At 37.4% G+C, this 11883-nt stretch overlaps 1 long non-coding RNA gene across 6 annotated transcripts in view; it reads left to right on the top strand.

Moving 5' to 3' along the window:
- The first annotated feature begins 1126 nt into the window (after positions 1–1126).
- The window catches only part of LOC101927404 (uncharacterized), a 121424-nt gene continuing 110667 nt past the window's right edge, over positions 1127–11883 (top strand). For all 6 annotated transcript variants that reach the window (XR_935579.3, XR_001753478.1, XR_935580.2 and 3 more), the window contains exon 1: positions 1127–1530. This is a non-coding gene — a long non-coding RNA (uncharacterized LOC101927404). The remainder of the gene's footprint in view (positions 1531–11883) is intronic.

Raw genomic sequence — 11883 nt, 5'->3', positions numbered from 1 at the left:
GAAATTCATCCCAGTTTTGAGAATGTTAACATAACTTTCAAAACCATGAAAATTTGCAAAATGTCCTTCCTTTGCTGTCACCTGAATGATATTTTACCCTAACAACTTGGGCACTCAAAAGGAGCTATCTGATTTCAAAGAAATGGAAGCTTTGTCCTGTTTGTCAAAACGCCAGAGAGCCCTCACAAGGGCAAGTGCTTTTTCTTTCCACTCTACACCCTCATTGGCAAGCACAAGGCCACACACCTTTGAGCTGATTGAAACATAACAAAACTAAGTACTTGCTCCAAGAGTTAGACTCTGACTTCAGGCTACAGCTCAGAACAGAAGGGATCTTTGCTGAACAGAAAGAAAGTTAAACAGATGCAATCCTCAGTGACAAGCAAGAGAGACAACACCGATGCCAGGGAACAACAACAACAACAAAATCTAAGGGCAAGCCGACATTCAAGCAACTGCACAGACACTGAACTCATGAACTAAATGAAGCATTAACAGGTTATATAATTTCAATTGGAGTTTGTGTATAAGAGAAACTTTTTGTACTGAGACAAGAAAATATGCAGACCAAACTGAAAATGAAAATCAACCCTTTGCAAACCATTGTGCTCACTCTGTTCGGAAATGATTAAGAATTTGACCTTCAATGCTCAACAGTCGTATCACTGAAATAAAATAGTAAGGTTGAAGGTTTCACATATTTCAAAAATGAATGTCTTGAATCAGAATTAAAGCAAATTAGTGGCCCAGATTGGAGTGAAGCGGTGTGATTGTAGCTCACTGAAGCCTTGAACTCCTGGGCTCGGGCGATCCTCTCGTTTTCAGGCCTTTTGAACATATTTTTGGTTCAAAAACTGTCTTCAATACTTCTTCAGTTTATATATTAATTCATTAACACACCTATTAAATGCCCATGATATGTCAGGTATTGATGTAGGCACGTGGTACACAAAGGTGATAAGGACCCTGTATCTGTAGTAAAGAGGTATAATAGAGAAGTATTTAACATAAGAGAACATCACCAAACAATAATTAAGGTGACAAGCAAGTTTTCCTTATAATTTTTACTTTATTTACCAAAGGTTTTAAAAATTACTATATCTGTGTATTATGCCATAGGCAAAACAAGAGTAATTTTTAAAGTCTTCCATTGAAAGTTCCATATATTTTAAACACAAAAAGAAATAGCCTAGCATACAAACATTCTAGGGATTCCCAAATAATTTCTCTAATAGCAGAGATCTCTGATGTGCAAGTGGCCAGCGTGTTCCCAAAATATAAGCACTTCTAATCTTGGCAAACTTGTCCTTGAGATGCCAATGTTGACTGGTGACTATCCACAGGCAGGGCTAGAAAAGGGAGTGGAACATTTTACTTAGGCAGGAAGCACTGAAGAGAAGAATCTTTTTTTCAGTAGACATTTGTGGGAAATAAAAATTTGTTTAGAAGAATTTAGGCCAAGAGATAAAATGGTCTTCTTTTGACTGAGGAGAGATAAGATAGATTTTAAGCAGACATCTGAAGTTAAAGGTAAGAGAATTTTGTTTATAATTATATCACATACCTATTATAAGTGTATAAGTAAACTTATAGATAACTAAACTAAAGTTGTATAACTTATAGATACGTTTACTTATACAAGTTGTTATACAAGTTGTATAATTTATACAACTTTATACATGTTGGAACATAAAAAGTACACCAAAATTATGAGCAGACTCATAGTATCTACCAAAATTGATGATTGTTTTCACCATAAAACATAACCACATACAAAATCAACTTAATTAAAATTAATTATCAATGAAACTAGATATTCAAACTGAATAAACCTTCTTTTGGCATTCTTTGTTATACCTATACTATATTAGTTCCCTATAGAAATCCCTTTGTAAACATCTAATGCAGAGTAAGGTGCTTTCAGTCCAATGTCCTCTCCGCGCAAGTGTGATATCAACATTTATTGTATCAGCCTCAAAATGGAAAACTATAACATTGAGCAGAACCTTGGAGGAAGAGAGATTCTGAATTATTTTGCTATATTTTTGTTCTTTTTATGTCAATGGATATTGCTCCAGTGTCTCCTTTATGCTTTTATAACCCCAATTACCTGTCAACTCAAACCAAAGTGACTATCGAGTCATGCATCTCTTAACAACAAGGATAAGTTCTGAGAAATGTGTGGTTAAGCAATTTCAGTTATGTGAACAATATACACAATTTATACAAACCTATGTGGCATAGCCAGCCTCATATTTAGGCTATATGGTTAAGCTATTGCTCTCAGGCTGCAAACCCATACAGCATGTTACTGTACTTAATACTGTAGGCAATTACAACATAATGGTATTTGTTTAAACATATCTAAGCATAAAAAGGTTCATACGGTTTGGCTGTGTCCCCAATCAAAATCTCATCTTGAATTGTAATTCCCATAATCCTCATGTGTCAATGGAGAGACCAGGTGGAGATAATTGAATCATGGGGGCAGTTTCCCCCATGCTGTTCTCCTGATAGTGAGTGAATTCTCATGAGATCTGATGGTTTTATAAGGGTTATGCATTTCCCCTGCTTGCACTCACTCCCTCCTGCCACCCTGTGAAGAAGGTGTCTGCTTCTCCTTTGCCTCCCACCGTGATTCTAAGTTTCCTGAGGCCTCCCCAGCAATGAGGAACCGTGAGTCAATTCAACCTCTTTCTTTAATAAGTTACCCAGTCTCGGTTATTTCTTCACAGTAGTATGAGAACACGCTAATACAAAAGTACAGTAAAAATATGGCATAAACAAAAAAATAATGGTGCACCGGTATAGGGAACTTACAATGAGCGGAGCTTGCAGGACTGTTACTTTGGGTGAGTCACTGAGTGAGTGGTGCATGAATGTGAAGCCTAGGGTATTGCTGTGCACTAATAGACTTTATAACAGTGCACTAGGTTACATTAAAATTATAAAATATTTTTTCTGTCTTCAATAATAAGTTAAACTAATCTTACTATAACATTTTTACTTTACAAACATTTAAGTTTTTAATCTTTTGACTCTTTTGTAATAACATTTAACTGAAAATAAAAACACATTGTAGAGGTCAGTGAGCTGCGATCACTCATCTGTACTCCAGCTTGGGTGACAGAGACACTGTCTGTAAAAAACTTTTAAAAACACATTGTACAGCCATACAAAAGTATTATTTTTCTTTATAACCTTATTTTATAAGCTCATTTCATATTTTTAAACATTGGATATTAGCTTTTTTTAACTTTTAAACTTTTCATTTAAAACTAAGACACAAACACACCCATTATCCTAGGCCTTCACAAGATTAGCTTCATTAAAATTGCTGTCTTCTGCCACTGTGTCTTGTCCCACTGGAAGGTCTTTGGGGGAAATCACATGCATGGAGCTGTCATCACCTATGACAATAATGCTTTCTTCCAGAATGCCTCCTGAAGGACCTCCTTGAGGCTGCTTTACAGTTACTTTTTTTTAATAAGTAGAAGAAGTTCACTGCAAAATAATGATTAAATGTTTAGTATAGTAAATACATTAACCAGTAGCATAGTCATTCCATTATCATTTTAAAGTAGTATGTACTGTACATAATTGTACGTGCTATATTTGTATGTGATTGGCAACACAGTGGGTTTGTTTACACCAGTATCACCACAAACATGTGAGTAATGCATTGCACTATGACATTAGGACAGCTATGACATCATTAGGCTACAGCAATTTTTCAGCCCCATTAGAATCTTATGGGACCATCGTCATATATGTGGTCCAACATTGACTAAAATGTTATTATTTGATGCATGACTGAATCCCGATTTAATTTTCACAGAGTATGTACATGTATCAAAGCATCACTCCATACTCCACAAATATGTATAATAATTGTCTTAATTTAAAAATACAAAAATTAAATAAATTTAAAAAATATTCTAAAGGGAGGCTCAGGCTTTTAAACACTCTTATTCTGTAAGAGTGCATGTCAAAGTGTAGAGGAAACTATAGGACTCCTTGAGGAAACAAGCAGGCAGGCAGTCAAGAGTAGGTGACACCAAATGCTGTGGTTAAAAAATAAAAAAACAGTTAATGAGGGGATACCAATACTTTCATAAAAAACAACTAGAAAATTTGAACAAAAATAGAAGTCATGTCCAAGATGTCAAAGAAGTACTGAAACCAGGATAATTAAAGACAGCAAGATTCCAGAGAGAGGAGAACCTCTGACATTTGTAGAGGCTTTTTACCTGAGGAAATCTGCTGTCTCTGCCTTTGTGGAGGAGGCTGAGAAGGTAGGTGATGGCCCAGAAGAAGACTGCTGTTAGGTAGAGAAAAATTAGCAGACATTTTGTTGGTCTCCTGGGGCTAGAAATAGAAAACAGAGATGTGATGGCCTCTCAATACATGACTGTTTTCCCCTCTATGGTTACATAAAGGATGAGGAGATAAAAAAAAAGACTAAACAGGAAGCCTCTAAGAAGGAAAACAGAGAAAGTGTAGCCTTCCTGAGGAGACAACGGCTAACATTCGCTCAACTGTCCATGGTCAGAGTCATGAAAAACACACCAAGCTCTCAGAGAGTGCAGATATTAAATTAGCAGATCAGGACGTTAAGATAACTATGATTATTCAACTGTAAAAGAACATAAAGGAAAATATTTAAAAAGGTAAAGCAATAGTGATTATACCAAAAAATTGAAAGACTTAAAATAATATAATGAACACCTAGAATTGAAGAAATGTGACTTTTGAAATTAAGAGCTTAATCACTGAATTTAATGATGGATTAGAAACAGAAAAACACAGGATTATTTGTCTGAAATACATGCCAATAAATATAAACCAAAAAAGAGAGAGAGAGAGAAAAAGAAAACACAGAAAAGAGTTTCAGAGAAATTGAACACAGAAAAATTTGTGTAGCCTACCTGTAATTTCTGTTCCAGAGGAAATTAACAAGAGAAAAGGGAAGACATTGAATTTTAGTACATAATGTCAGAAAAAGTATTAAAACCAAAGAAAGGATTTATGGCAGCTGGTTGCAAATCTCCCCCCCAGAAAACTATGGGTTAATATTCCTGCCATGATGTAATGTCCTCTGTTATTGAATGTGGGCCAGCACTGTGCCTTGCTTTATGCAAAAGGCTGTGACAGGGGACACTGTACCATATTAGGCCCAAGCCTTAAAATTGACTGACATCTTCTTCTGAGTCTTCTGGAGCCTGGAGTCACCATGTAAAATTCCAGCTGCCCTTCTGGAGAGAGGCCCTGGAAGACAAGATACAATAGGCAAAGAATTATATCATAAAGAAGAAACAACAAGCAGCCAGGCACAGTGGCTTACGCCTGTACTCCCAGCACTTTGGGAGGCTGATGCAGGCAGATCTCCTGAGATCAGAAGTTTGCAACCAGCCTGGCCAACTTGGTGAAACCCCAGCTCTACAAAAATTAGCTGAGCATGGTGGAGCGCACCTGTAATCCCAGCTACTTGGGTGTCAGAAGTGGAAGAATCGCTTGAGTCCTGGAGGCGGAGGTTGCAGTGAGACTAGATGGCCCCACTGAACTTCAGCCAAGGTGACAGAAAGAGACTCTGGCAAAAAAAAAAAAAAAAAAAGGAAGAAGAAGAGGAGGAAGAAATAAGCATCTTGTACATGAGTGGATGAGCTATCAAAGTTTCCATCTGGAATAAAATATTCTAGCATCCAAATGACTGCATATCCAACCATGAAATAAATGGAGAACCCCAGGTGAGGCTGGCTAAATAAATCTTGAGCCACACTCAGTCAACCCATTGAAACATGAGCTCATAAAATGGTTATTTTAAGCCAATGAATGTTAAAGTGCTTATAATGCAGGAACAGACAGAACAAGTATCAACCTATTGATCAAAAAACTCATTGAACCCAAAGCAGTTTCAGTAAGAGAAATCCACACTTAGGGACGTCTCAATGAAATGCTTAGAAACAGAGAAAAAGAATTTGAATCATCCTGGGTTGTAGTAATAGGGGGCAGGGGGCGGGGGGCGGGCAGTGGAAGTACAAATTATGTTCAAAGTTGCAACAATAGTATTTGTCAAAACAAATAACAAAACAAAACCTGAATGAATGTCAGAAGATAATGGAATGGCATTTTTAAGGAGCTGAAGAAAGTCATTCCCAAACAAAAATTATATACTCAGTAAATATATCCTTCAAAAATAAAGATAAAAAAACAGATTTTAGACAAATTCAAAGAGAATTTGTTGCCAGCAGACCTACATTACAATAGAAATAATATTGTTTGTATAAAGCAATGATAATGCTACCTAATGGCAACTAAAATACATGTAGATAAAAAATGCCTAAAACAGCACAAATGGAAAGAATAAAGTAAATGTATTTCAAATGTTCTATGTTTTTTTTATTAAGGAAATGATAAAAGTAACATTGTTCAAAGGTAACAAAGCAAGTATTGATAAAGAAGCTTTTAATCCGCCACTTAAAAATTAGTGAAATAATATGTAATTAGTAATAGAGAAAATATAGAATATAAATAACTAATACAGAAGAAACAAGAAAAAACAGAAGAAGTAAAATAACATAGGTGGTCAAAGAGAAGATGAATAAGAATGAGAAGATGAATAACATATATCTGAATACATCAATAATTATATTAAAAAATTAATACGGTATTTCATATTAATAGGCTAAAAACACTTCTTTTAAGACTAAAATTGTCAAATTAATTTAAATAGCAGCAAAAACAAAATCCATATAATGCTTAGAAGAAGCACAGGAAAGTTAAAAATAAACAGAACAGGAAAGTTAAAAATAAACAACACAGGAAAGTTAAAAATAAACAGCATGATGGGCTGGGCATGGTCAGGCCTGTAATCCCAGTGCTTTGGGAGGCCAAGGCTGGAAGATCACTTTAACCCAGGAGTTCACGACTGGCCTGAGCAATATGGCAAGACCTTGTCTCCACAAAATGTAAAAAATTAGCTGGGCATAGTGGCACACATCTGTAATTCCAGGTACTGGGAAGGCTGCTGCTGGAGGATCACCTGATCCCACGTGTTCAAGGCTGCAGTGAGCCATGATGAAGTCATTGCATTTCAGCTTGGGTGACCGAGAAACAAAACAAAACAAAAACCTTTAACAAACAAAAAGCATGAAAGAAGTTCTATTATGAGCAGACTCTGTTATAGCTATATTATTAGTATTAGAATCAGCCAACTTAGCTCAAAAGAACTGAGAGAAATAGCAGGTACATGCAGAGAATAAGGGCACAGAAGCTGAAAACAACACCATCAGCACATATGCACTATGGCATGGGTAGGAGATTGCACCAAACAAAGACAGCATATAGTTTATTTTTAAGTGTACTTGTAACATTTTTTAAAAAGTGACCTCTTGCTAAGCCAATGGAGCAACAGTCAACAAATCTTGAAACATTGATATAGTTCAGGGTATTTTTTTGTGTATCAATTTAAAAACATAAGAAAGAAATCCCCAGTTGTTCAGAAAGCACATCAAATACTATTGCATAAAAGAAGAAATCATCACAGAAATTAGAATTGTGAACAAGTATGTGACTGTGACATATAAAAGTTTTTGAAATTCAAAATTGGTGTTTAGAAAAAAATTAAAAACATATAACACACAGACACACAAATGTATGAAAGACTGAAAATGCCAGACTATTTTTGAGGCTTGTATCATCATTTATGATTAAGGCTTTTATCTTAAAGCTGGAGTTTTTAAGCATATGAAATTCACAGAAACTAGAAGGGATTAATAAATAAAAATAAGAGCAGATGCAGGTAAAATAGAAAACATGCATACAGTAGAGAGCATTGTTGTAGACAAAAATAGATTGTTCAAAAGAATTAATAAAATTGATAAGCTTCTAGCAAGACTAATCACTGATAGAAGGAAGAAAACATAAAGATCAATAACTAGAATAACTTGATTCCTATAGTGGATGTCCCAGTGGAATAAGGCAATAAGCTAACAAATAAACAAAATAGATAAATAAGCAAACAGCAGACAGAAATGCAAGTAAACTAACTGCAACTTCAACAAGGAAAAAAATGAATTTCACAGAAATAAATGTGCAATTAATGAAAACAGACACAAACACATACTGTATGATTCATTTATATCAAGTATAAAAACAGTAAAATGTATTAATGTTATTAGAAGCAGATAGCCTTTGATTTTCCTGAGTTAGTTAATAGGCGGCAGCTTTAGTTGGAAGGAAGAAAGAGTTTCCGTGGGGACTGGTATGTTGTATGCTTTGATCTGGGTACTTGTTGCATGAATGTGCTCAGGATGTAAAAATTATTTGATATGCATATTTGTGATTTGTGTATGTTTCTGTATGCATGCTAAACTTAAAGAAAATGTTAGAATTCAATAACAACAAAAAGTCTTGGGAAGACACATATCCTTTAGGTAGATTAGATACTTAAAAACACATCAATGCAAGTAACTTCAGAATTCTTAAATATTGAATATTTTCTTCTTGAACAAAAGTACACAGAGATATTTGCTGGTAAGATTTCATACCGTATTTGAGAGATTAACCATTTTGTCTTTTTTTTTTTTTTTTTTTTGAGACAAAGTCTCACTCTGTCACCCAGGCTGGAGTGCAGTGGCGCGATCTCAGCTCACTGCAAGCTCTGCCTCCCAGGTTCATGCCATTCTCCTGCCTCAGCCTCCCGAGTAGCTGGGACTGCAGGTGCCCACCACCACACCCGGCTAATTTTTTATTTTATTTTATTTTATTTTATTTTTTGTATTTTTAGTAGAGACAGGGTTTTACCATGTTAGCCAGGATGGTCTCGATCTCCTGACCTCGTGATCTGCCCCTCTTCGCCTCCCAAAATGGTGGGATTACAGGCATGAGCCACTGCACCTGGCCACCAGTTTTGTCTTCTAAGAGATGAATGTCTTTCTTTTCCCATTTCTGGGTGTTTATTCACCCAGAATCTGTGTGTCTGTGTGTGGGGTTGGGGAATAAGTGCAGTTTTTCAGGTTATTGGTACCCCAAACATGAATTCATAATTGAGATTATGCTAGGACCCAAAGAGACACAATTCTCTCAATAATTAATGTAAATAAATAAATAGATAAATAAACAAATGGACAAACCAATAAATAGCTAGGGCTTCTCCCAAAATAGATGACAGTGATATAGTTTAACAGTAAGGTCAGACATGAAGGGTTCACAATAGAAAGAGTGGGGGTCCTCCCACTGCATCAATGAAACTGTCACTGTTAGGCAGGCTGGCTCTTCTTTTTCTGAGAACCATGATAGGATTTCAGCAATAGAGTTTTATATTGGGTTTAATATCATATCAGTAAAACTGTGCTTGTTATCATACAGATTCTCTAGTACTTATGGGAAAAGAACAGAAGCAAATTTGGTAATGTCATGCCTTTGGGTCAAATTAAGATCAAATGATCTCACAGCATATTATGTAGAGGCACCAAAAAAGAAAGGCAGTGGTAGAAGGGTGGTATACCCTTAGCATAGGCATAGTTAGCATAGGCAGCCAGATTTAGAAAAATTATTGTCTTGCCATGCTCTTCACTCCTAGAATCATATTGTAAATGACAGTTGGATTGCAGTGTTAAAAAAAATCTGTCAGATTTTTAAAGGATGTTTGGAGTGTTGGTTTTTCTGGCCGGGAAACCTCTGTGGCTGGTGGCACCTTTGCCCGAGTTCTTGTCCTGTGTCCAGGAAGAATGAGGTATGCAGACAAGTGAAGGGTGAGCAAGACACAGAGGGGCTTTACTGAGTGTTAGAACAGCTCAGAAAAGACCCCCGGTGGGTAGCTTCTGTCTGTAAGCAGGCTGTCCCATTGAATATTCAGCTCTTAGCAGCAAGGAGGCCATGGAGTGGGTAGCTCCTCCCTGCAGGCAGGTCATTTCCACATCTGAAACGCTCAGCAGAGAAGATGTACCAGGGTGGGTAGCTCCTCTCTGCAGCTGGTTGTCCTATCACCTGTCCATCTGCTTTCCTGTTCTAGATGAGTCCAGGACTATTTTATGGACCCAGAGAGGAGGAAGTGTCTGGCGACTGGTCCATGGGCAGCCATGGGTGGGCTAGAAAAGGCACCACAAGTCCCCACTCTGGTCCAGGGGACTGGCAGCCTGGCCCGGAGCCTTCAGGCCCTCCCTGAGCTGAAGGTCGGGACTTATCGGGACCTATCTCCTTAGCCCAGGAGCCTGTCTGCCTCCAGCAGCCCTACATCGTCCCTGAGATCACCAGACTTGCTCCCAGATCAGAGGCCCTGCTGACAGCAGGGAGAAGTCAGACAGTGGGGCAGGCACTTACGAGCCTGCAAGGGGACGGGGTCTTCCTGGGCTCTCCCCTAGCAGGGATGCCTGAGTCTGCAGCCACGGTTTGGGCAGCTGCAGCTGCGCCCAGGAGGGCAGCCCCCTAAGAGCACAGGGAGGCTTGGATCCACAGCTGCAGTTGGGGTGGCTGCCTGAATGGGGCTCCTGCCTGCTCTGTGGATCAGGAGCAGAATCTGGGGTCTGCAGCCGAGGTTTGGGCGGCTGCAGCGGCACCTTGGGAGCTCCCACCCCAACTTGGAAGAGGTAGGGCTCCCACCAGCTTCATGGAGGGTGCAGCCCCAGCTGCACCTCTCTGCTGCATCCAGCTCGATGGCAGCAGCAATCCTTCTGGAGCAGCAGCTCCCATCAACATCACATTGATATTGCAAACTTTAATTTGATTATATTTGTATTTCTATTTTTCTTATATCTAATATACATATTGTTTGGATTTTAAAGTTTCATATACACTATAAGCACAGAAACTTCATAATAGTTTTATATATGAACATATTTAGAATTTTACTTTAAACTTCACTTTATTTAAAGCAAAATCTTCCTTAAACCTTTTACTGGATAACCATCTTTGAGTGAAGTTAGAACACTAAACATTCTTTTCCTAAATTGTGTGTTTGCTTTTTATATTCCATGTCAAAGCAAAAAATATAAATAAATAAAATAAAAATCCCTGTATAAAGTTAAACAGCTAAGAAAGATTTTATTGAATGCTATCTCAACAGAACAGAGAGGTCAGAACTCAGTCTGAGCTCAATTAAATGGAACAAAGCCTGGGGAGCTTGTAAGACCAAGAGGTGGGGAATCTTAGGCTACCTATGTTTGCCAATTGGCCTTAACCAAAGGAAACAAACTTGCTCACATTTTCCTAATAAGAAGTAGTTTTACAGCTTACAGCCAGGTGCCTGCTGGAGTTAGGCTGCTGGCCTGGGAGCCGACTCTGGGAGATAGAGCCCTATCTTCCTGGATAATGGTTACACTTTAAATGGACTGCTTCCAGGTTTTTGAGAATGATGTTTCTGGGTTGTAAATCTTGTGGGAAGCTTTGACAAGATTTGTATCTCAAAAACACAGAGAAAGAATTTACATGTGTAAGTTTTCTACAGTGAATGCTCTAAGAGAAGGGAGATGAAAGGTCTGAAGTCAGGAAGAAGCCTGTCTGAAGTTTATTCCAGCTGAGGCCTGAGTGAAAGCTGTCTTGTTCAGTGAAACTGTGTCAACACACATTGGCCAGTTCTTCCTTATGCTGTAATACACTAGAGTGATCTACGTAGCTGATTGTGCTGGTTTGTTTTCATGCCAATATCTCATGTTTGGAACTTAAAAGTCCTGCTTTATCTTTTAATAAATAATCCTTCCTTTGTCTCTGTGAATACAAAATGTCAAAACTACTTATTACATTTGTTACTGTTACAAAATTTTAATGATAGAAACCAATCTTAATTTTACAATTCAAGATAAAAATTGTAACTTTTGAAAAATGTTAAAGACCCAAATTTATTAAAAGACAATCTTTTTTACCTAATTGTCTAAAACTAATGGT

Source organism: Homo sapiens, chromosome 18, assembly GCF_000001405.40.
Source record: "Homo sapiens chromosome 18, GRCh38.p14 Primary Assembly".
NCBI classification, from domain to species: Eukaryota; Metazoa; Chordata; class Mammalia; order Primates; family Hominidae; genus Homo; species Homo sapiens.
Note: the sequence above shows the minus strand (reverse complement) of the source record. Positions and strands in the feature narration are given on the sequence as shown.